The sequence below is a fragment of the Homo sapiens genome, chromosome 14, assembly GCF_000001405.40.
Source record: "Homo sapiens chromosome 14, GRCh38.p14 Primary Assembly".
In the NCBI taxonomy this organism is placed as follows: Eukaryota; Metazoa; Chordata; class Mammalia; order Primates; family Hominidae; genus Homo; species Homo sapiens.
In genome coordinates, this window is record NC_000014.9 from 99740211 (window position 1) to 99765231 (window position 25021).

The following is a 25021-nucleotide window of genomic DNA, read 5'->3' on the forward strand; positions in this document are numbered from 1 at the left end:
AAGAACACTGAAGCTCAGAGAGGCACATGTGAGGTCACCCAGCTGGTCAATGGCAGAGCAGGGATTCGAACCCAGTTCCTCAGACCCTGTTAGCACAGAAGCCAGGTTAGGCCCCTCTTCCCGGGAGTCCCACCTGCACACCCAAGGAGGGCGAGGCTGGCTATTTTGTGGGGCTTTTTGGCTTGCACCTGAAGAAGCAGCTCTCATTTCAGGGTTGGCTAGCTCAACATTGCCTCCAATAGCTTGCAACCTGTAGAGAAAAACATAGTGCCTTGTTAGGGTGTCAGGAAAATTCTGCAGAGCAGGAGCACAGCAGGAGGTGGCCGGCCCCTGGATTTATGGCCCTGTGCCTGGGTGGGTGAGCCGGAGCTAAGGTTACCCGGGAGTCAGCACCGTATTTATAGCAGGAACTCTCCTGCATCAAGTACCGGCCCACACACCACGGCCAGCAAAGGCGCTTCCTTTACAGTTGCCTGCATTCTAGGCTTGGCTCTGTCTCTTCGGGGCAGAGTCACGTCACCTTTCTAAGCCTCAGTTTCTTCATCTTTAAAATGGGGGGTTCGTCAATTCTCTCACTGGGTCTGGAAATAGGATCTGTAAGTGCTTGGCACCTGCCTGGCATAGATGGGGCCTCAGAAGATGCTGGCTCTACACATCCTGGGTCTGTTGATTGTCTTTTCCTGCCTTTGACCTTGTGATTTACCCATCTCCGTCCTGGCCAGAATCTGCAGGAAGAGAATCCAGGTCTCTGTGCTGTAAGCTGCACCCATGCTTGGGAAAGTTTCCAGCAAAGCAACTTTACAATCCTAAGCACCGAAGAGCAGGCTGTTCTGTTTTCAGCAGAGCAATGAATGCAGGTCCATCAGAGACCAGGGTTCAAATCCCAGCTCTACCACTCCCTAGCTCTGTGGCCTCGGGTGAGTCACTTAACTTCTGTGAGCCTCTGTGACAGATGGGCATTTGCCCTGCTGCAGCAGGTATGGTAAGGACAGGCCTCTAACCTGCAGAAGTGTTCAGCCAGCAGAGTGACCCTGTCTCTCCTCCTGTGTAACCTTCCGCCAGTCCCACTGCCCTGCTCTGGGCCACAGTCACCCTGTTCGTGTGTTGAGACATGGCTGCCCTTGCTGGTGCGTTTTGTAAGTGCGTGTGCTGGGAAGTTGTTCCCCCGTCTTTATCACCTCCCCCAATGCCCTGCAGCTTCTGATTCTCACCAAGACATTCAGCTGGGTGAGCTGACAGATCCCTGGTGTCCCCAAAAGGCCCCCAAGTACTTGGCTCTCCAAGTACCTCTCTCTGCCTGAAGTCAAGGATGGTTTTCCAAGCATAGGGCCTGCAAACATTAGTGGGGCCACCCAACTGCTCACTCAATTCTCCCTGGCATCCCAGAACCCAGACAGCACCCCAGCTTTTTGCGCCCACCCCCCCCCAGACCTCACAGTGGGCCCCTCACCAGGGACCAGGGCAGCGTCCACCTTCTCTTCCTGTCCCAGCCACCCCCAGCTCTCACCTCAGTTTCTCCTAGAAGGCCTCGCCCCCCAATTTATGCCATCCCAGTCCCCAAGGAGGTCGCACTGCTCTCTGAGGTGGGGGGGCCTGGCGTGGTGTCCCTTCCCTGGATTTCAGGGCAGACAAGTGCTGGAAAGGGTATGAGATGCCTGGAGTGGCCCTGGGATATGGGAACACCTCTGAGATGACCTGGTGAATCGTGCCAACGTGGCCCCCTGCCCTGCTCGTAGGAGTCCCGAGCTGTTGGATGCTACAGGCCTGTCTAGGGGCAGTGGGAGCCTTTGGTGCTGAGTGACCCAGGGCAGCCCTCCTTCGTGTGTGACCTCAGAGAGGTTAAGTATTAGCCATCCACAGGCCAGCACACGGCTCTGGACACATGTCCCGAGTTCTGACATCAAGTACCCCCCACCTCAGCCCCTGTGAAGGGCTGGGCCTGCCTGGGTCTCTCTGAGGGTCCAAGCCAGACTCCATGCCCTGTGCCTTCTGGGTGCCTGCACATAGGGTGGTGGCAGGGCATGAGTCCCTGAGGAGCAAGAGGTGGTTTTATGTGACGTCAGTGGTTGCCAAGGCTGGAGGCAGCAAGTGGCCTGGGTTTTCACTGGGTTTATGGTTACTGGCCAGTTCATCCCTTGGGGATAGGGAGCCAGTGAAGGCTCTGGAGCTGGGGATGGAGAAGGTACATGGCTTGCTTCAGTGCAGTGGGTGGAGGAATTGGAAGGAGGATCTGGAGGCCCAGAGGCCAAGGAGGAGGCTGGTGAGATGGTCCTGGGGAGAAAGGGTGAGGTCCACACAGAAGAGGAGGGACCCGGAGGAGGGCACAGGGAGATCTGGCAACTGCTGGGGCTGGGGTGCTGGGACGGTGCAGTGGAGGCTGAGCCTGATACTGCCGCCCCTATTAGGAGGGCCCAAAGGACATACTGTCACTTTCAGGGCTCCATGGGGTGACCTGGCAGTGTTTCAGGGCTCAACTGTAAAACTTGTGGAGTGCGTGGAGGGCTGGGTAAGATCCGAGCCCCATGTGCCCTGGCCCTGGACACAGGCAGGTCCCTCTCCTCTCCGAGCCTCGGCGGTCTCATCTGTAAAGTAGAGGTGACACCATAAGCTCAGGGGTGTCATGGGTATTGGACGGGATGACTCCTTTTAACTCCTTATGAACTGTGGGGCACAAGGGAAGTGTGGGTGATCTCCAGGCATGAACCTTTGAACAGCACCGCAAGTGTGCCGGGCACCTGTGATATTGACACCAAGAAGGACTCAACCTCAGCAGCATCCAGCGACCTCTCACGAGAGGCTGGGCACCGGGTGGGGACATGCAGGAGGAATCCGCAGTTGGGAAGTCCCCCTTCAGTGCCCCTCACGGCGCCCCTACGTTGAGGTTCACACCGCACTCCCAACCCATGGGATCTCCATGTTATGGAGCAGGGGAAACTGAGGCCCAAGAGAAAGAGAGACTGGCTCAGTCACCCAGCGAGGGCATGGTGAGCTGGGGCTCAGGCTGGATTCCCAGGCACAGGTCGAGCCCCTCCAGCACTTTTGCTGAGGTGTCTCCTACTTGTCCCATCGTCCAGGCTCAGTGGAGGCCTGCCTCCTCCAGGGACCCTTCCCTGAGTTCTGCAGCCCCTGGGGACCCTGCACCCTTGGAGCACCCATGCCCTGCTACCCTTCTTGGATAGTAGCTTCGAGTGGCACCACCCCAGACCACTGCCCTTCTCACAGAAGTTACGAGCTGTGGGATGTTGTTAGGCATGTCCAGGTGCGGCTGGATCCTTCAGTACTGTGCGATCCAGGACAGGCCCCCTTCCGTGTGCGGCCTGAGAGATGCTGATTTGTTAGCACCCACCCGCTTATCTGTTATCCATCCACAGGCCAGCACGTGGCTCTGCACATGCATCCCAAGTCCCGACATCAGGCAGGGCCCCGGTACCTTCTCAGCCCTGCACTCACTCGGCACACGAACCTCCAGGCAGCAAATGAATACATTCACATGACTGGGGGCCCCACGCCAGTGTCGGAAGTACCCTCGCAGGCTTTTTCATCTATGACAAGAGATGCAGGTTAGAAAGGCAACTCGGAAAGGAAAGCTATCCACTTCTGTTCTTTTAAAGTATTGGGTCAATTCTAAGGGAGCATTCTTGAGATAGCAAGATAGATTTTATTTTTTATTTATCATGTTTTTAAAACAAAAGCTTTAAAATAAAAAAACAGCTAATGGTTGCAAATGCTAACAGCTTTTGCATTTAGCATTTGCAACCATTTCACTATTTTTTTTCTTGAAATTCACAGTCAAAATAAAATATAGAAACCAGTTGCTGAGGTGGGTAAAAGGTCGCCCATAGACACCCATTTCAAATTTCCAATTTTTGCACTTTGATTTCAAAATTTTGCCTTCATCAAAACAGCCTCTTTGGTTATTTTGTTTCTTACTCTTTTTTTACATAAGTCAGAATGGGATCGGGATGCTCCAGAATAAACAAATCTCAATGGCTCAATACCACAAAGGTACACTTCTACCTTATAAAAAGACCACTGCAGGTCTGGTGACCCCCTCCCTGCTCCCAGGGCAGGTCCCTACACGGTGACCCAGTGTGATGCTTCCATAAAGACCAATGTTTTCCCAGTCACTGCAGCCAGCCAAGAGAGAGATGGCGACACAGCACCAGTTAAATGCACCCACCGGGAAGTAACCCACCTTGCCACAGCCAAAGTTTCACTGGCTACAGCAAGCCACATGGGCACACCAAATGGCCAGAGGACAGAGTGTGTCTCTCCATTAGGAACAGCAGTAATGTCTGCACCCCTTTCATTGAGTTTTTTTCCCCCGAATTGACCGTCTGTTTCTTTGTTTGTTTTTCAAGTAATCCATTTTAATTATGAAATAGAGCACATTGTGTGAGCTGTGGTCAACAGGTATCCAAAATGTAAATCATGTGATTTCCAATATGCAAATCATAACGCCAGGGGCAAGACTTTTCAAAACATCGCTCCCTCCCACGGAGTTGCATTTGCATTTTAAAGCACGAAAATAAATTTCTGAATGATTCGGTCATCACCTCCAGCGAGGAAAAGCATAACCAAGAAAAACCTTAGCCAGAAATATCTTTTGACTTTTTATTTGCTGAGGTACAAAAGAGGGTGTTGGAATGAGTAGGCTGTGGAATCCGTTTATTCAGTGTAATCCACAGATCCGAAAACTGAGATAGGAGTTTAGAAGGAAATGATTTTTGAATAATACTGGGGGAAATGATGAGAAGAGCGTGTTTTCTTCACTCTAATACAGATATGCACTCTCTCTTTGATTCTATGACACCATTAAAGAGAAGCTGTGTCATCAGTTTAGTAGCTGGTTCTCCCAGTTGACTTTTTTTTTTGAGACAGACTCTTGCTCTGTCACCCAGGCTTGAGTGCAGTGGCACATCTCGGCTCACTGCAACCTCTGCCTCCCGGGTTTAAGCGATTCTCCTGACTCAGCCTCCCAAGTAGCTGGGACTACATGCATGCGCCACCACACCTGGCTAATTTTTGTATTTTTGGTAGAGACGAGGTTTCACCATGTTGCCCAGTCTGGTCTCAAACTTCTGACCTCAAATTATCCGCCTGCTTCGGCCTCCCAAAGTGCTGAGATCACAGGCATGAGCCATCATCCGGCCCCAAATGACTTTTAATGGTGGGCGTGTACATACACATATGGCACACACACACGCACACACTATGAAACACATTTAAATAAAACTTTACAGTATAACAGAGGGCTGTGGCCACACACATCACACATTGCTTTGTATGAGATAAGATCTGGTTTAAAAATAATGTTTGCAAAGACTAGAGGTTGCCTACGAACCCTGTCATAAGAGTCAGTGAATCAACTTGGATTGCTAGAAATAAAACCAGAATTGGACCTGATACTGCTGAGCTCCGTTTGGGGGGTCAGACATTCCTGCAGTATTCAGCTCTGTGGTCCACCCTCGAGGCCAAACTGTTTAGAGAACTCTCTACCAAGTTTAAACACATCTTTTAGGAATCCTGCCTCATTTATTTTGGGTGGAAAAACATGTCAAGTGCTGGTGCTGGAGCAGAAAACATCCTTCCTGCCACTTCTCGCTCATAGTCTGAGTTAACCTCTGACTCTGTGGACGCTTACTGAGCCTGTGCTGTGTGCATGGTGTACTGCCAGGCACTGTGGTTTGAGGCTAGAGCAGGGAATTCAGCCAGCCTTGGGTCTCCCCTTGTGGGATTTGCCTCTCCAGCCCACTCTGGTGTCCTTGTCCTTAGGGTTAATAGACTGAGGTTACTGGTGGACTAAACAAGAATGTATACAGTAGGCACTGAAAAATGGCGGCTCCCCCTCCCCTAGGCCCTTTCACACACTCAGTTCCACATGACGCCCCCTTTAACCTATGTAGTCAATGTTATCATTCCATTTTATAGACGAGCAAATGGAGATTTAGAGAAATGGAGTGGCTTGCCCAAGGTCACACAGGGAGTAACTGAGACAGATGGGACTGAGACAGGTGCGCTGTCCCCAACCTGGGGTCACCCACCTCAGGAGGGTCAGAAAAGTGGCACTCTTTTCCAAAGAAGGGAGCTGGGTGTGGCGGTGGCTTGGGGGAAGGGCCTTTATCAGGACCCAAGCCCAGCAATCCCCTCTGAACTTTTCGGGAGGAGGGAGAGGTCTCAGGGGGCACCTATGTTTGGAGCCTGGATGGAGGCTTGGCCCTGAGCCCAGCTATGTGGCGGAAGCACTAGCTTCAGGCAAGCCCTTTGCCTCTGGGGAGGTTTCCACAGGATGGGGTGGGGGCGGATGTGCAGCATGAAGAGAAACAGGAGTCTTCCTTGTAGCAGAAGCCGAGGACTCAGGAGGTGCCGCCTAAGCCCCAGCATCTCTCTGGAGTGGTTTCCTGCTCGCCCGGGGACAACAGCCAAAGCCTGGTGCCCCGGCTCTACCCCATGGGCAGAGCTGGCTCAGTCGCACCCCACGCCCTGGGCCCCCTCCACGCAGCCCAGGGCCTCACACCATCCCCATTCTGCTGCTGGTGGATGCTTCTGTCAACTTCATGCCTAAGAAGGCTGGCTGAGGCTGGCATAGAGCCTTGTCCTGTGTCCCCACCCCTCGAGCAGGGCTCCTCCCACCCAGGGCTCCCAGTTCTTCCTGGGGAGAGAAGCCCAAGTGGCCGGGTGCTCTGGTTTGTTGAGCATCTGCCGCGCCCTGCCCTGGGCGGCTCCTCCGCACTCCTGTTTGCTATCCTGTGCTTGCCTCCGCTCTATCGGGCGCTGTGCCCCATCTCACAAGGCCAGATACCCAGGATAAGCATGACTAAGGAGGTAGAAAAACAACCACCACCCGGGCACCTGTAGTCCCAGCTACTCAGAAGGCTGAGGGAGGAGAATGGCGTGAACCCAGGAGGTGGAGCTTGCAGTGAGCCGAGATAGCGCCACTGCACTCCAGCCTTGGTGGCAGAGCTAGACCCCGTCTCAAAAAAAAAAAAAAAAAAAGGAAGAAAAGAAAAACAGTCACCACCTCTGGAAAAAAAATCATGAGCTCCGAACTCCCCTGGAAATGTATAGAAATGGCGAGGAGGGCACTGCGCATTCTTCCAGGCCTGGACCAAGGGACCAGCCTCTGGCCCAGGAGAAAGGCAGGCCCGGGGTGGCACAGATCGGCTCCAGATGTACAGGGCACATTTGGGGAATGGCAGCTGTCTGGCCTGATGGGGGGCAGGGGTCTGAGGGGGAAGGAGAAACTCTATCCTAAAGTGGGTTTGGGGCCACCTCGGTTGCCCAGTTGGGGGGTGGCATGTTGGGTAGACAGTGGAGAAGGGTGGATGTCCTATGGGTGAGGGGCTGTCAGAGACCCAAGGAACATCCTTTCTGTGTCTATTCATGTCTCATTCACCAAACCCAGGTCTGCACTGCACCAGGGCTGGGCTGCGCCTTAGGAATTCATGGGGCGAGCAGGGTGAGCTTCAGGGTCAGGCTTGGGCCCGCTTCTTATCTACTCTCTGCAGGGGCTCGGAGTAAGGACACCTGCCAGTCACTGGGAGGCCTGAGTGGAAGCCACCAAGCCCACCCCTGGCCACACGGGGACTTGGTGCTGCCCCAGGGGTCCCGCTGCAGGGTCAGCAATGCACGGGAAGGGGCCTCATCTCACCTTAGACACTTGGAAAGCCACCCCCTCCTGGACTTTCTTCCTTTTCTTTCCATCTTGAAACACTGAGCTGGTTGAGAGAGGGTAAAGACTTGGCAATGACCGAAAACCAGGGATGAGGTGCCCTAAAGAGGTTCCCTTAGGGCCGACAGCTGTGACATCCATGAGATCATGCGTGCCTGGGTGCCTGGGAGGAGCCCCACTCACTGCCAAGGCGGAATTCGCCCGGGATGCCCGGGCAGGAGGTGTGGCTGCAGCCAGGATTCCCGGGGCCCTGCAGGGTCTGTCAGGTGACCCTAGCTAAGAGCCTGTCACAGGGATGGCATCGCTGCTCTGGGAAAGCCCCTGCCCGCAGCCCCAGGACAGCCCCTGCCCGCAGCCCCAGGCCTGCCCACTCAGAGCATGTGGGGTCCTGGGATCCGGAGCTTGCCCCGAGGCTGCGGGAATATGTGGGGTGAGTGGTACTCACGTTTCTCCCCGGTTTCTGGGAGGAAAAGGGAGGGGCCAGCGATGCTCAAGGCTGCAGCTTTATAGAAAGTGTCCTGGGTTCCAATCCTGGCTTTGTTATCTTTTTTTTTTTGTCTCAGTGACACCTTTGTTGAGATGTATTATATAATTCACACATTTAGACCCAGCGCAGTGACTCACACCTGCAATCCCAGCACTTTGGGAGGCCAAGGCAGGAGGATCCCTTGAGTCCAGGAGTTCAAGACCAGCCTGTGCAACAAGTTCAAGGCTGTAGTGAGTCATGATCGCTCCACTGCACTCCAGCCTGGGCAACAGAGCGAGACCCTGTCTCAAAAAAAAGAAAGAAACTAAAAATAAATAAATCACACATTTAAAAGTATATATCCAGTGGTTGTTAGTATATTCAGAGTTGTGCAACCATCACCACAATCAAATTTAGAACACTTCCGTCGTCCACGGAAAAATCCAATACCCATTAGTAGCGACCCCTTCTAGCTTCCTCCCCACAGCCCTTGGCAAACACTCGTCCACTTTGTTTCTGTAGATTTGCGTATTCTGCATTTTTCATATGAGTGGAATCCTGTAACACGTGGCCTTTTGTGCCTGGATTCTCTCGCTTAGGAAACATTTTTGGGTTCATTCGTGTTGGAGCCTGTATCCATCTTCATTCATTCCTATTGCCGATTAATACCCCAGCATATGGATATACCATGTTTCACTCGTCTGTTCACCAGTGGACGGGCATTTGGGTTATTTCCACGCTTTGGCCATGATGAGTAACGCTGCTATGAACACTCGTGTACCAGTTTCTGTGTGAACATCTGTTTTCATTTCCCCTGGGTGCACACCGGGAAGCGGGATCGCCGGATCATACGGTGACTCTATGTTGAGCATTTTGAGGAACCGCCAGGCTGTTTCCAGCGGTGGCTGCGCCATTTTCCCTTCCCACCTGCGGGGCATGCTGGCTCTGACTCCTCACATCTTCACCGGCACCTGTTACTGTCTTCTCGCCCCCCCAGCCATCCTAGTGGTGTGAAGTGGTATCTCACTGAGGTTTTCATTTGCATTTCCCTAGTGTCCAATGGTGCTGAGCATTTTTTCACGTGCTTATTGGGCACCACCTCTTGGCTTTGCCACCTTAAGTCTCGGTTTTCATATCTGTAAAATGGGGACAATGACAGCACCTGCCTCACAGACTGTGATGAGGGCTCAGTGAGATAATGTCAGGGTCCTGGGACATTTGCTGCTTGAAGCTGCAGGCTGGGGTTAGGGTCCTTCCTCTGAAAGCTGGTATGAGGGAGGGACATGGAGAAAGCTGGAAGCCTGGAGGTTTCTGTGAGCCCCAAACCCATGTAGACAGGGACAAACATCAGTAGCGAGGGAGCTGACTTACCAGCCCAGCCCTGGGTGATTTCTGCTGGAGCTCTGATGCTCTGCTGTTCTGCGGCAGGCCGAGTGACCCCGACATGTCTACACAGCCCCAGTGAAATGCAGATGGCACACGTTCAATGCAGACAGGCTCAGCCCATCACATGGGCTTCTAATTTTTCTCATGGGGAATTATTGGGCCTCTGCCCCTTGGCTGCTCCCCGATGGGGTGACATCGTGCTCCTTGGACTTGCTGTGACCGGCTTTGCCAAGCTTGTGTCTGTCAGTGGAGAGCTCTGGAAGGCAGCCAGGAGTGTCCTCCCGCGAGGTTGGCTCTTTCTGCCCCTTATCAGGGAACTTCTGGTGGAGGTGCCGATGGTCAGGCCGATTGTGTGGCCGTCACCTGAGCCTGGAGCCAGGCGGGAGGTAAGGGAGTACCACCAGCCTGTCACGGGTGGAAAACAAATCCATCTCTAACAGCAGGCTCACTAGGTTGCCCCGGAGGGAACAATTCACGTTCCATGCTGGAATCCCGTGGGAGAAGAGCGGAGAGGCTCCCCTGGTGGCCCCCGGATGTTCAGTTGAGTCTGCAGTCTGGGAAAAGCAGGTCAGATGCGATGAGGACTCCAGGCTCCAGGGAGAGGTGCTGGCAGCACATGGGGGCAGGTGGGGGTCCCAGGCTGTTTCTGGGCCCTGCTGCTATGTCCTCACCCAGCTGGGGCCACAGTAGAAAGTCAGGGAGGGGAGCATGACTGAGGAATCAGACAGATTGCTTTGGCATTCAAGCTCGCCACCAAGTGCTGTGTGATCTTTGCAAGTCAGATAACCTCTCTGGGCCTTTGTATCCTTGTGTGCAAAACAAAGCTGATGACACCTTATAGGGTGCTTGCTACACATGAACTATCACCCGTATTCAAGGGCACAGTGGGGGGATCAGGGTGGGCTTTCATTTTAGGTCGAGTCCCCTGAAAAGCAGAGCTTCTATTCCATGGATGTGGCCTCCTAAGACAGTCACTCAGGAGAAAGCTGTGAAGGAGGGAGGAAGGCAGGATGGGTTCTAGGTGGAGTCCAGCTTGATTTTGTTCATAGTCACCTCCACCACCCCGAGTCTAACCCGATCGCCCCTCAGTTCAGGGCTTCGACCTCTGCCCTTGAAGGAAGCATCCATGGAAGGCTGGGGTGGCCTGGGGGAGAGGTCTCCCTGCTCAGAAGCCAGAGCCTGGCTCAGAGACGATGCTCCACAGGCATTAGCTCCCTCGCCTTCCACCTCCAGGCCTCGGTTTCCCCCCCTGTGAAATGAACTGGCTGGAGCAAATGTTTTTAAAGACCTTCCAGTGTAGTAATAGCCTCTTTTCTTAAAAAAGAAAATTAAAAGAAACTACCCAAGCAATCATTCCCTTAGCCACCCATCACATCCCAAGCACCTACTGCTAGCCAGGCCACTGCTGGGTCCTGGGGTACAGAGGACAGTCTGCCCCTCACCTGCCTCCAGGAGCTCACAGCAGATGGACAAGCAGACGGACAATGAGAGCCCCGTGTGCCATGTACTGTGACCTGAGAACCACAGGGGGGTGGGCAGGGCAGCCTTCCTGGAGGAGTAGCCCTGAGTCAGGTCTTGAGGCACAAGTGGGAGGTAACAAGGGGCCACTGCATGGAGGGTCCTGGGTGACCCAGCACGGAAGCAGAGGCAGCAGCAGCTGCTGAATGGTCAATCAGCCATTCGACTAACATTTACTGATCAGCTGCAGACAAAGATGACAGTATGATTCCCGTCCTTGGGGGCAGACTCTTGGAGCAGGGGAGGTGTCATGCAGAAAACGGACAAGATAAATACAAAGCCCATAGTGTGTGTGATGGTAAGGAGGGTGCTAAGGATGGGGTATCGTGAATCAGGGACGGGGTGTCAGAACAGGGCTATGGAGAGAGGCCTGGATACTCGAGAAGGACCTCAGGGATGTGAAAGACCGGGCCATGGAGCTTCTGAGAAAAGGGTGTTCCTGGCAGAAGAGGCAGCTGGTGCAAAGGCCCTGAGTTGAGAGTGTCTGGTCTTTTCAAGGAAGAGCAGCAAGGTCAGTTTGGGCAGAGTGAACCCCAGAACCGGGGCGGAAGACGAGCTTAGACAGGAGGGGTTGGGAAGACCCACAGGGGTCTATCTGCAGTCTGAAAAGGATATTGGTATTGACCCTGGGTGAGAAGGGAGCCAGGGAGGGTTTTGGGCAGAGGAGTGACAGGACCTCACATCCGTTTTACGGGCACGTGGCAGCAGGAGGGAATGTTCATTCTCAGCGAGTCTGAGCATCAGAAGATAAGAGGAGGCAAACCCAAGGCCGTTTTGCCAGCCCTTGCTGGAGGCATCCATCACAGCGCCCCAGATGCCGTTACTCCAGAGACACCGTTAATCGCCCCACCGCGCAGGGCTGATGTTTAATATGCCATCAGCTGGCTTTCTTGGTTCAAACACACTGAGAGCTCCCAGTTCTTTGCCTCGAGACAGCACCAGCAGCATAGCCCCCAGAGAAGCATTTCCCTTCTTATGTACCCAGGAGGACACTCGAAATTCCAAGTCCTTGTCCCTAGATTCCCCCAAGGCAAGGTCTGGAAATGATGACACACACCCACAGTCCTACACACATAAACACACTCTCAGACACACTCATCACCAACGCCAGGGTCGCCGGGCGGAATGCAGGACGTCCAGCTGAATTTGAATTTCAGATAAACAACAACTGTTTTGTGGAAGTGGAAGCATGTCCCAAATATTGCTCCTTCTTGGCAGCTAAGGAATCTCCCCTGAATTGCCCCTACACCCCAGCACCTCCAGGCCAGCAGAAAGTGTCCTGGTCCCCTGGGTGCAGGAAGGCTGTGCCCAAGGAGCCAGCTGCCTGCTGAGGTGCCCCCTGGGGAGAGGGTGCTGTCCCAGGGAAGCAGTGCCTGCCTTGGGGCTTGGGACTCAGCTGCCGCCACGGGGCCTCCAGACCCTGACCCTTGGTAGCTGGTAAACCACAGCTTTCAGGGGCCAATGGTCTTCCTGTGTGGCTTCCCAGCCCCCTTTAAGGAAGTGATTTATGGCTCTGAGAAAACAGGGTCAGTCGGGAGGAAGCACAGGGGGCCTGGTTTCCTTTAGAAAATACACATTAAAAAATACACAGTTTTAAACAGCAGGTTTTTTTTTAATGATGAAACCTGAATAAGGAAACAAACGCTACACTGTATGAATCAGGAAAGAACTATCCCAGGAAGCTGGAAGGCAGGGCGTGCAATGAAAGAACGAGGCCTCTGACTTGAGGCAGCCCTGGCTTTTATTCCCCGCCCTGGCATCTATGGGCAAGTGGCTGCACCTGGCCCAGCCTCAGTTTCCCTCAGGATAGCCATAAGAGGGAAGCAGCGAAGCCGGCACAGTGGGCAGGACACATGTGGAGGGGTCTTGCAAAGACACCTGAGGTTGATGCCTCATCCCGCAGGGAAGCAGCCGCAGCCCCCACCCCCCTACCCGCACCCCCCGCCCCCCCGCCGCCCCCCCACCCCCCACTGCCCCCGCACCTGCTTTCCGAGGGGCATTTCATCTCCACCCAGTGGCCATGGTTGGCGCTTCAGCTAACAAGACACTTCAGGGGGAAGTCCTCATTGCAATTAAGTCCGAACCTCCTGGCCTGGTAATGCTGGCCCTCCCTGGGGGGTCAAGCGGATCCCTGTGGGCCCCTCCGGCCTCCCTGCCCAGGACCCGCCCTCACCTCCACAGCCCAGGCAGATGGATTCTCCACACACTGCTCAGTGTTTCTCACCTGGTGCCTGTCAGCACCCATCTCCCTTCCTGGAACACCTTGTGGTCCCCAGCAAAGCCCTCCTTCACTCCCTCTACTCCCTCCCTGGCAGGGAGGGGCCTCCTCTGTATGGTGACAGCCAGTAAGTAGCCTCCATCGCTCGTGAGGTCCGTGTCTGCGTCTGCCTGATAGACGGTGAGCGTCTGAGGGCAGGGTCGGTGTCTGAGTCATCTCTACCCCAGCCCTGGCACATAGTAGGTGCTCAGTGGGGGTCTTGCTATTTCTCTGTTGCTGCTTGTTGCCATTCTTCCTTTAGAAAGTGCTTAGGGAAAATTGCTGTCTGCAAGGCTGCTTACAAAAACCATCCTGTTTTCTCTTCCCCACAACCGCATCAGCTAGGTGGTATTATCATCCCCAGTGTACGGACCAGGAGATGGAGGCTCAGAGTGGATCATCACACAGCTACTCCATGGAGGCAGAGGCTCCACTGCTAGGCTGCCAGGTGGCAAAGCCAGAGGGCTTTCCAACAAGGGCCCCCCACCCCAGGTCTGTGTCTAAGACCCTCATTGGCTCTGCTGCTGCATCACTGGCAGCTCCTGGATAAATCCTTCCCCTCTCTGGGACTCAGTTTCCTGATCTGTGAAATGGGGGAAGCTGCAGTTGCTGATCTCTAAAGTGGCTCAACCCTGGGTTGCGAGGACACAGACGTTGCTGGCCTTTGTTGGACCCCTGGCATCCCTGGAGTGCCAGCCTTCTGAAGATGTTTATCTGTCCCAGCACTAAGCTGCTTCTTGTGACATCATCTTAATCCTGTCTCAGGCGGTGACATCACCAGCTTGGCGGGGTCGGCCAGGGCAAGGAGGGGGCCCCATCTCCCAGCCTGGCATGCCACCTCCCCTGCCCCCTGCCTCCCCCCACGGTGGCACGCATGGCGTTTGAAGCTATGGGAGTCCTCTGGGGGTGCAAAGGGCTCCACCAGACCTCTGGGTGGGGCCGTGACTCCCAGACCAGCCTGCCTGGCTCCCTGTGTGGGAGGAGTAGGTTACAGACGGACCTCCCAGGACCCACTTTGGTGGTCTTGAATTTTGGTTCTCTGCTTTCAACTTCTGTTTGACTCAACTGTACAGCTGGAGATAGAGGCGTGGGCAGGCAGGGTTTGCATGCATCAACTCACTTCTTCCGAGTTTTGTTTTGAGGACAAATGAGTCAGCTTGGCACCCCGGCACAGGGCAGAGAGCACTGGCAAAGCCCTCTACCAGCTGCGTTATCTCAGCACGTCTCTCAGCCTCGCCAAGCCTCAGTTTCCTCACCTATAACGTGGGATGAGGACTATGGAGCCCACGCAGTGCTGGAGAAACTTCTCCAGGTCATGCCTGTGAAGCTTGGCCTGAGAGAGGGGCTCAGAGGAGCTGTTGCCTCCCCCGCCCCATGATCCGGAGACAGCAGGCACCTGCCTCTCGTGTCCATGCAGCATTACAGGAGGGGACAGGTGGCCGTGAGGAAAAGCTGTAAACCTAACCAGCTGTAATCCCGCTAATGGTTTATCTTCTTTTCATGAGAAGGAGGCCCAGCATCCTACACGGGGCAGGGAACAACAGGCCTTTGTGTTCTTTTGGGAAATGGGATGGAGCTCAGAAGAAAAGTCAGGCGTTGGTGCCTTATCTTTCCTGGCAAAGCTGGGGCCTCTGGGCCCAATCCCTGCTGGCAACCAAAGGGTGGCATGAATAATGGAAAGGCTGGCATGCAGCTTCCAGGCACCCAGCCGGTGACAGGAGCTGAAGGAGATGGACCGTGGAGGACAGGCAGCCTCCAGCAGCCTTGGGGGCCTGGAGGCCCCGGGGAGCCTGGGGCTGCCGGAGGGGCCTGAGAGGCGCTATGCTGATGCTGCCAGAGAGTCAGGGGTCTCTGTGTCAGCGTCACTTTGAAGCTTATATCTCAGGTCCCACACGCTGTGTGTCCTTGGGCAAGTCACTTGATCTCTCTCAGCCCTCCTCTTCTTGCTGTGACATCCTCATCTGGTGGTTGTGGCGGCTCCAGAAGAGAGGCTTCCAAGTGCCTAGTGCACAGTGGGTGCTTAGTGGTGCCAGCTGTGGAGGGGAGAGCTGGGGGCAAAGGAGCAGCTAAAGATGTTGGTTCCTGTCCCGGCTGTGGACTGGCTGTGTGGCGCTGGACCAGCCTCTTTCCCATTCCGTGGTCACTTGCCCTCCTGGGGAACAGGGTGCCTCTCTGGATCCCCAAGTCTGCAGAACCCCAATTCTAATTCACACAGATGCTGACTGCTGGCTCCATGCCAACCCCCGCAAGGGGCAGGGTGGGGAAACTGTGTTGTGTGCATGGTAGGTGTGCGGGGACCAAGCGGGAGCTGCAAGAGGAAGTGTGGCCTGAGGAGGCAGGGGGCAGGAGCCTGGCCCTGGACCCACCCTGGAGCAGGTCCCTGGCCCAGGGTAGCACAGGGCTACTTCACAGGCGAGGAACCCGAGGCTTAGATAAGCTCAAGGAACCCGCCCAGGGTCCCCTGCCGGCAAGTGGCAGAGTGTAGCTCCCATGGCCACACGTGTGGCCCACAGCCCCTCGCCTAGCCAGGATGGCTCCGCAAGAGGACAACATCTCACCCCAGGATGGCTTTCAGGGAAATGCAGCCAAGAAGGGGAGTTGTGCTGGGTGGGGTCACCAGGGTGCCCAGAAGCCAGCTCTCCAAGGTCAGCAAGTGCTGGGCCCCAGAGAAGGACCCCAGGAGGCGACTGCAGGTGGCACATCTGATGGCATCAGGGTTGGGGGCACTGACCAATGCCAGTCCCTTCCGACTTAAGGGGGTTTGGTGGTGGGGGCAGGGTCAGGCAGCATGACCCATACTGGTCATCGGGTGGCAGCCCTGGCTCTGCCCTGCTGATGTAGCAAGGCGGGAGGCAGAGGCTGACCAGCAAGGCCACTCCGGCCTATTGCTGTGAGTCACCGCCTGGCTCAAGGCCCAGGCAAAGGCCGCGGGAGGCCTCTGTCTGGGGTTCCCACAGTGAATGGCTCATCGGTTCCTTGGTGTTCCTGGTGGGCTTTGGGGAAACCTTTACTTCAGATAACAGAGTGAGTAGGTAGATGGTTTGGAGCCATATGACAGTCTAAGCCTATACCTAAAGAATGGTGGGGTCATCGACCCAATTTCTAGCACCTAAAACCTTTGGCCCAGTGGTTCTCAAACGCTGGTGGGCACTGCAGTCGCCTGGAGGTGGGGAGGTGTTTGTTAAAAAATTACACCTTCCCGAGCCCCCACACCTGTGGAATCTGAATCTTGGGGCTCTGGTGTGATTCCCGTGCCCCCAGCGTTTGAAGTTCAGTGTGTCAGGCACCCTCAGACACATTCACAAAGACTCTCAACCCCCCTCTCACGTCCCCTTTCCTGTGTTCCCAGCCTCACACATCCGCACGCGGCCCGCACTCTCACAGGGCGCGTATACACTCATCTGCATGGACTCACATCCACAAGGATGCGCGTGCTCCTGTGCCCACAATGACACGCAGTTCTACACACACATCCCCAGGACCGGCGGCACAATTTGCAGGGCCAAGTGCAAAACGAACATATGGAGCTGCTGTTTAACAATCATTAAGGCTGGGCATGGCGGCTCACGCCTGTCATCCAAGCACTTTGCGAGGCCGAGGCGGGAGGATCACCTAAGGTCGGCAGTTCGAGTCCAGCCTGACCAATGTGGAGAAACCGCATCTCTACTAAAAATACAAAATTAGCTGGGTGTGGTGGTGCATGCCTGTCGTCGCAGCTACTCGGGAGGCTGAGACAGGAGAATCACTTGAACCCGGGAGGTGGAGGTTGCAGTGAGCGAAGATCGCGCCATTGCACTCCAGCCTGGGCGACAGAGCACGACTCCATTTCAAAAAAAAAAAAAAAAGAATTGTTAAAAATTTCAAGACTGTGGCAGCAGAGCCCCCAGTGACAGCACAGGTTGTGTGGCAACAAAACTGGCCTTGCATACAGTCGCGCATACCGCTTGTGCACATCTAGGAGCCTCGTGGATAAACATGCCACACGGCACAGACACCCACGCATGTACACTCATGTGCACACACAGCAAGGCTTCAACCTAACTTTTTATTGGGATGAGGAAGCGTGCTGGTTAGCGTTTAATAAGCAAAAGCAAAGTTGAGTCATATGTGTGTTGCTTGAAAGCAAGAAACGCCAGATGGAGCATTAAATGAATCACTGTCTTGGGTTTCATGAGTAACATTTTAATTGGGTTGTGACTAGTTTGGGAAAACTTTTAAGCTCCCCTCCACCTCAAATCCAAATTAAATCAGCAATTATTTAATGCTCCCAATGCCATGAAGCTCCCTGAATAAAATGTGAGCTTTAAAAAACAGGTTTCAAGAATACGCTTCTCTGCCAAACAAATTACAATGCACGAGGCAGCTCTTTCTTCCTAGAAACAAGGAGGGGAGGAAACTTGCATTTATTGAGCACCTACTATGAGCCAGCCCCTGTGTTCAGGGATGAGCACACATAATCTATGCACTAAGATTCCTAAATGCTGAGCATGGTGCCTGGCATATGGCAGGTGTTTGGTAAACAGTAGCTTATTACTGTATTTCATCCGAACCCAGGGTCTCACTGACTGTAAGACATACATTATTTTCTGGACCATAGAGAAAGAAAAGAACACTGACACTGAAATCCTGATGCCAGCCAAGACACGCTGGGAAAACATGCTGTCTCAGAGGTGCTTACACATGAACACTGTGTTCGAGAGTCAACGGAAGCCAGATCATAAAAGAAATTACCTCCCCAGTTCACAGACAGGAAAGACTGAGGGCCAGGAGGACAACCTGCCAGGGGGCTCTTTGGCTCTTGAGATGATGTCATCAGAGGCTGAGGAGGGCTTTTTCTGGAGTTCTGCCAACATGAAGCATACAGAGTTCCACCCACCATGTATGGGGATTGCTTTGTGGGGGAGGAGACCTGCCTCAGTACCCCGGGAAATGTTGCTGATGCACCCTGATTTGTGCAGCCTGGGGGTTCAGGGCAGAGGTTTCAGTCTTTGGATCTCCCCACATTTGACCAAAGGCAGGCACAGTTGGGATCATTCTCTTCAAAGCAAGTTTTAGAGATTAGTAGTCATTTTGAGAGCCCCAGGCCTGCCCAGAGTCAGTCCTCGCCCTAGTCACGCCCTCATGCAGTGATTCATTAGGCGAAGAAACTGGCCTTGGAAGGCAATGAGCTCATGAATATGCACAGCGGGTCCTCATAAATTATGCATTCCATACGGAGGCTTCTGGGGAGAGGCTGAGGAGCACCGAGTCGCTCAGCCCTGCAACAGAAGGCTTGCTCACAAGGACTTTCTGTAAAGTGCATATTCCTGCCCTCCTGCCCTGTCCATCACAATGAACTTGTGGGCAGCACTCTAGTTCTGATAAAACATCGGACTCTGGGTTTGCAAAGAAATTGGAGTTTACTTAGCTGTGACTTTGCTGATGGCCATGCTGGCAGGTCTAGAGGGGCTGTCAGGGTCAGAGTGGGCCTGCACATGACTTGCTTCACGCCCATAGATGTGCAAAGCCGTCTGACCTTACGGAGGCCCCAGCAGTTGAAAAGCTGCTGCCCAGATGAGTGATTTACATGTTCCTCCAAATCAGAGGGTGCTGAGGTGTAGTGGCCTGAGAGTCATGGAGCAAACACTGGGCTGGTAGTCAGGGTGGGACCTGGTTTTAGCAAGAAGGAGAGGGAGGGGGCTCTGCAGGTGTCTGCATTCCCTACCACAGATGTCTGGGGTGAGCACAGCAGTCAGCCCTCAGCCCCTCCACTCCCTTCCACAAGGCCAGGCTGGGCACACAGTAGGCATGCTGCAGTCAGGCAGGGGCTCAAGGTGAGTTCTGCATGGCCCGCTTGGCTTAAAGCTGCTTCTCCCTCATGGGGCCTTCCTTCTTGTCCAGCTGCACTCACCATCTCTGATGGTTCTCTGACCACTCAGCCACCCCTCAGCCAGCCTGGAGGGCAGCCCCGGGCCGGGAGGTCCCCTTCTCTTAGTTTCTCCTTAGTTTCTGCTGACAGTGACTGTCAGCACCTTTCCTGCTATCAACAGCCATATGTGTGAGCACTTCAGACACTTCCTGTCCTTTCATCCTCCTGACAGCCTGGGAAGGAATCGGGTGCACCGTCCTACAGTCCAGGCCTTGGCCAGAGAGGAAAGGGCTTGTCCTGGCAGCTCCGAGGTGGCATTGCTGGGTTTGCGCTGTGTCCAGCCAAGCTCAGTTCCTGTCTCCAGCCTGTGCTGCGCAGGCTGAGCTGAGCCTTAACCACCCTCAGCAGCAGCAGGGCCTGGGGAAGCACCTGGAAAACGCTCTTTGCGTTCATGCATCAAGAGCTGTGAGACTAGGCCTGGCATGGTGGCTCACGCCTGTAATCCCAGCCCTTTGGGAGGCCGAGGTGGGTGGGTCACCTGAGGTCAGAGACAAGCCTGACCAACATGATGAAACCCCGTCTCTACTATAAATACAGAAATTAGCCGGGCGTGGTGGCGGGTGCCTGTAATCCCAGCTACTCAGGAGGCTGAGGCAGGAGAATCGCTTGAACCCGGGAGGCGGATGTTGCACCCCAGCCTGGGCAACAAGAGCTAGACTCCCTCTCAAAAAAAAAAAAAAAAAAAAAAAAAAAAAAGAGCTATGAGACCAGGCTTAAATCACTCCATTTGGAAACACCCCCCAAACTTACAAATGTGCAACAGAAACAAAACCTCTACAGAAAATGGACTAAATGGAGAAAAAGAAAATGAAATCAGCTGTCGTCCCTTCTCCCGGAAACTCAGCCCTGTCAGCCACATGGGTTTCCTTTCTCTCCCTTCTCTTTCTTTCTGTGCAAAGTTGCCCTATCAAGTCATTGGTAAAATGGTGCCTCCAGTTTCCTCCCCCCACCCTTATGTCACAAGCATTTCCCACATTGCTGCATGATCTCCGTAATGACCATTTTAACAACTGCGGAACATGGAGTGAAATGTACTGGCTTTCGGCATGGAACCATTCTCTGATGTTGGGATTACTGTGCAGGGTGTTTAGAACGCACCGTTCAAAGGAAACGACTTTTAGACTTTCATGAATTTAATTCTTATGTCACATTCCTAATGGGGGATCAGCCTGTCCCTCCTCCATACAGCATGCAAAGTATGTAAGCCTCCTTACAGCATGCAAAGTGCTGATTTTCCCTTTCTCCCTGAAAGGGCTTTGCAGACAGACTGGGAGCCTGCTCAACGCCCAAACACCAATATTAATCTCAGTCTCGTCAAGTAAGCCCCAACTTGAGCCAGACGGTCCCTCAGTGTGTGGCACCACTGGTCCCATCTTATAATGGAGCAAACAGTATCTTGCCCAATACCTGCATTCAACCAGTACACGCAAAGCTGGGATTTGAACACAGCTCTGTCTCATTCAAGGGACTCTGGTGTGCATTTTGCTCTCTGCTACCCATGGACCACAGAGACAACCAAGGCCTGAGCCACAGGCAAGCGGGGAGAAAGAAAAACAGAACCACAGACAAATGCCAGAGCCCTCTCAGACCAACCATGCCAACCAAGGCTCGTAAAGTGTTTTCTCTGTGCCAGACACTGTTCAAAGAGCTTTACAAATGTTACCTCACTCAGTCCTCACTGTACCCTGGGAGGCACGATTTTTATTCCCACCTTACCGATGAGAAAACTGAGGCTCAGGGAAGCTGAGTGACTTGGGCAGAGTCACACAGCTTGAGAGTGGCAGAGTCAGGATTGGAACTCAGGCTGACTCTGGAGACTGTAATCATCACCTCCCCACCCCTGTCAGCTCCAAGTTTAGTTCAGCTTCATCCCCCTCTGGTTGCCAGCACAGGGCCTTCCCATTGTAGGGACCCTATTAATATTTGTGGAGTGGCTGTTTGACAGATATGATGTTTTGGAGACTGCAGAAGAAGGAAGGCTGGCAGAGCGGTGTGCTGGGTGTCAGACACAGACCAGGGTTGCTCACTGGGTGTCTTACTGGGAGGCGCCTGGCTGCCCTTCCCAAGGAGAGCAAAGTTGCCCAGGATTGGGGCGTACATGTGGGAGGCATGCTTACCAAATTTGTGGGTGACACCGAGCCTGGGGTGAGCAGATGGTGTGGGAGAATGCAGAATGGGCATTCAAAATGATCTCCCCTGGGCTTTTAGGACTGGGGGCAAAATGAGGCTGGGCACAGTGGCTCACACCTGTAATCCCAGCACTTTGGGAGGCCGAGGTGGGAGGATCACTTGAGGTCAGGAGTTCAAGACCAGCCTGGCCAACATGGCGAAACCCTGTCTCTAATAAAAATATAAAAGTTAGCCAGATGTGGTGGCAGGCGCCTGTAATCCCAGCTAATCGGGAGGCTGAGGAATGAGAATCTCTTGAACCTGGGAGGCGGAGGTTGCAGTGAGCTGAGATCACGCCACTGCACTCCAGCCTGGGTGACAGAGTGAGACTCTGTCTCAAAAAAAAAAAAAAAAATCGAGAACTGGGGGCAAAATGACATGAAATTTGAAGGTGACAAAATCTAGCACTTGGATCAGCCGGAAGGGTAACCTGATTGGAAACCAATGACAATTAGGGAAATATGTGGAGGTGGGGCTGATGGGCTCAGTGGCTGAACAGACGTGGGCACGGACAGGAAAGGGGCTTTACATAAATTAATTTGCACAATGAGCCCTGTTCCAGGGAGTGACCTTGACCTTCAGTGTCTTCCTCTGTATCACAGGGACAATAATAGCACCTGTGCCACTGAATTGCTTTTAAATCTAGTGTTTTTTTCATAAACTTCAAAAAAAATTGAAATGCAACATGCTTACAGAAAAGTGCATCCATTTTACGTACACAGCTTGAGGAATATCCACAGTAAACCTATCTGTATAACCAGCCCCCTGAACAAGAAACAGAACTTACACCACCAGAAGCCCCTCGCACCCTCCTCCAGCCATTAACCCCTCAGGTAAACACTGTTTGGGCTTCTAATACTGGATTAGCTTTTGCTTGCTTGTTTTTAACCTTTCTGTAAGTGGAAATACCAAATGTTGATAAAGATATCGACTGGGTGCAGTGACTCATGCCTATAATCCCAGCACTTTGGGAGGCCAAGGCAGGAGGATTACTTGAGCCCAAGAGTTCAAAACCAGCCTGGGCAACATGATGAGACCCTTTCCGTACAAAAAATTTTTTAAAGTAGTCAGGTGTGGTGTCACATGCCTGTAGTCCCAACTACACGAGAGGCTGAGGTGGGAGGTTCACTTGAGCCTGAGAGGTTGAGACTGCAGTAAGCCATATTTCCAGTCACTGCACTTCGCCCTAGGTGACAGAGTGAAACACTGTCTAAAAGTAAATTAAGATAAATAAAAACTAGAGACATGGAGAAACTGGAACTCACACATGTTACTGGTAGAAGATAAGTTGTTAAAGCCATTCTAGGAAACTGATATTATCTACTAAAGCTGAATAACACCCCTACGTATGTGTGTGATATGCTTTGGCTGTGTCCCCACCCAAATCTCATCTTGAATTCCCACGTGTTGTGGGAGGGACTCAGTGGGAGGCAATTGAATCATGGGGCAGGTCTTTCCCATGCTGTTCTCATCATAGTAAGTATCACGAGATCTGACAGTTTTATAAGGGAGAGTTTCCCTGCACAAACTCTCTCTTTGCCTGCCGCCATCTATGTAAGATGTGACTTGCTCCTCCTTGCCTTCTGCCATGATTGTGAGGCCTCCCCAGCCACATGGAACTGTAAGTCCATTAAACCACTTTCTTTTGTAAATTGCCCAGTCTCAGGTATGTCTTTATCAGCAGTGCAACTAATACAGTGTGTCTGATGTATGTTCATGTATGTATGTGGTGTGTGCATCTATAAATATACTCACCGCTTCTCCAGATACTCCTGGAGCTGTATGAGTAGACATGGACACACCTACTATATACGTGGATTTATTGCAAGACAACCCTCTTCATAGCAGCACACTCAGGCACCTTCACAAGGTATTTGGTACCTTCACAAGGTGGGGCACTACTCCCGGTGATAAGGTGGGGAGAGGCTAAAAGACAGGCTGAAGCTCACAGGCAGGACCAGCCAGGCCCCACCAGCCCTCAGAGAGGCTCCCTGAAATTATTTGTAGGAATCACTGCGGAAGCATGAGGAGCACTTAGACTCATGCCCAATGAGCTTGTGGTCTTCGTGTTATTGTCCTCATCACTGCAATGACCTCTCTAGATCCTCGGCTATGCTGCACGATGTTTCGATTGATTTCACCTTTTACATCCCTCACCTCTCTGACCTCAGCACAGTTGTGTAATAAACACAAGCATGGATAATGATGTGGGCTGGCTCTCAGGGCAGCAGGGAGCACCGGGAGGACCCTAATCCAAATCACCAAACCCACCTCTGCCATGCAAGGTGGAGGACAGCCCTGGAGGAGCCGGGGCCTGCAGGAAATTTGTGTTCTGAGAGGTTCATGACCTGTGCAGGCTTCTTTGGAAGGCAGCTGGGGGTGTGTTGGGGCCGCCCTTTTCTTCTTGCTAACACCGCCAGGCAGCCGAGGTCCCCAAGTGTTTCTGGAGGAGGAGACAGTTGGCTGCAGGCTGAGGAGCCCTGGTACCAGTGAGTGGGGGCAGTGGAGATGCCCGCTAGTCTCAGGCCACCGCTGACTTGCTGTGTGACCTTCCTCCTTTCACTGCCCTCTCTGTGTGGCTCACTCTTCCATGAGGACGTTGGGCTGGGTGGCTCCAGAGCTGTTCTCCTCCTGCCTCCTCCCCCAGCTCACAGAGGTCTCACAGCAGCTCTTCACCCAGGTTGTTCTCCTTCCTTCTCGCAGCAGCCCTGCAATTTTACAGATGAGGGAAGTGCGGCTCAGAGAGGCTAAGCGATTTGCCCAAGGTCACGCAGATAGTGCCAGGTGGGGCTGGAATTCAGCTGCCCTGTTCAGCCTCCACTCCACTTCCCTGGCCACCGTCCTGGCCGAGGCAGAGCCCTGGGTTGGTCTTCCCCACTGAAGTCTCCCTGGGTGATGTGCATTTCTGACAAGCTCCCAGGTTTAGCGGATGCTGCTGGTCTCAAGAGCAGGCTTTCAGCAGCGAGCTCTGTACATTCACAGTCTAGTGGAGCATGCAGGTTGGCGAACAGATGAAGGCCAAGGAGCGTCAGGGCAGGCTTCCTGGAAGTGCCGCTGCAAGGAGAGAAGGAGGTGGCTGAGAAGGAAAGGGGAGACAAGTCCCAAATTCCAGCCCAGGCACAGAAGCAGCAGGGTGGGCTCCACATGGCCACTGAACCACAGGAGCTTGGAGCAGGATGTGATACAGTTTCTTGATAGACTTTTGGCATGGCCAGGACTGGATCCAAGTCAGTGTATAGGGACACCCAAACCGCTGTCCTGCCCGTTCCTCAGTCAGTGTTGTTTTTTTTACTATAGCAAAATATATAACAAAATTTACTATCTTAATCGTTTTTGTTGTTGTTGGTGTTGTTGTTGTTGTCGTTTTTAGAGACAGGGTCTTACTCTGTTGCCCAAGCTGGAGCGCAGTGGAACAATCATGGCTCACTGCAGCCTCAACCTCCTGGGCTCAAATGATCCTCCCACCTCAGCCTCCCGAGTAGCCAGGACCACAGGCGAATGCCACCATGCACAGCTAATTTTTTTTCTTTAATTTGTAGAGGTGGGGTCTTCTTATGTTGCCCAGGCTGGTGTCGAATTCCTGGGCTCAAGTAATCCTCCAGTCTCGGCCTCCCAAAGTGCTGGGATTACAGGCGTGTAAGATAG

The 25021-nt window shown here is 53.4% G+C and overlaps 1 protein-coding gene across 3 annotated transcripts in view, besides 5 other annotated features; it reads left to right on the forward strand.

The window, feature by feature from the left end:
• Positions 1–25021, forward strand: part of EML1 (EMAP like 1) — a 204339-nt gene that overhangs the window by 2489 nt on the left and 176829 nt on the right. The window lies entirely within an intron of this gene.
• Positions 9315–9847: an enhancer, noted in NCBI's record as "H3K4me1 hESC enhancer chr14:100215862-100216394 (GRCh37/hg19 assembly coordinates)". NCBI's record gives its function as "activates a minimal SCP1, AML or CMV promoter by ChIP-STARR-seq in naive H9 embryonic stem cells {active_cell/tissue: H9 hESC(naive)}" and the evidence as "EXISTENCE:reporter gene assay evidence [ECO:0000049][PMID:30033119]".
• Positions 11339–11960: an enhancer, noted in NCBI's record as "H3K4me1 hESC enhancer chr14:100217886-100218507 (GRCh37/hg19 assembly coordinates)". NCBI's record gives its function as "activates a minimal SCP1, AML or CMV promoter by ChIP-STARR-seq in primed H9 embryonic stem cells {active_cell/tissue: H9 hESC(primed)}" and the evidence as "EXISTENCE:reporter gene assay evidence [ECO:0000049][PMID:30033119]".
• Positions 11961–12581: an enhancer, noted in NCBI's record as "H3K4me1 hESC enhancer chr14:100218508-100219128 (GRCh37/hg19 assembly coordinates)". NCBI's record gives its function as "activates a minimal SCP1, AML or CMV promoter by ChIP-STARR-seq in primed H9 embryonic stem cells {active_cell/tissue: H9 hESC(primed)}" and the evidence as "EXISTENCE:reporter gene assay evidence [ECO:0000049][PMID:30033119]".
• Positions 15066–15686: an enhancer, noted in NCBI's record as "H3K4me1 hESC enhancer chr14:100221613-100222233 (GRCh37/hg19 assembly coordinates)". NCBI's record gives its function as "activates a minimal SCP1, AML or CMV promoter by ChIP-STARR-seq in primed H9 embryonic stem cells {active_cell/tissue: H9 hESC(primed)}" and the evidence as "EXISTENCE:reporter gene assay evidence [ECO:0000049][PMID:30033119]".
• Positions 15687–16306: an enhancer, noted in NCBI's record as "H3K4me1 hESC enhancer chr14:100222234-100222853 (GRCh37/hg19 assembly coordinates)". NCBI's record gives its function as "activates a minimal SCP1, AML or CMV promoter by ChIP-STARR-seq in naive H9 embryonic stem cells {active_cell/tissue: H9 hESC(naive)}" and the evidence as "EXISTENCE:reporter gene assay evidence [ECO:0000049][PMID:30033119]".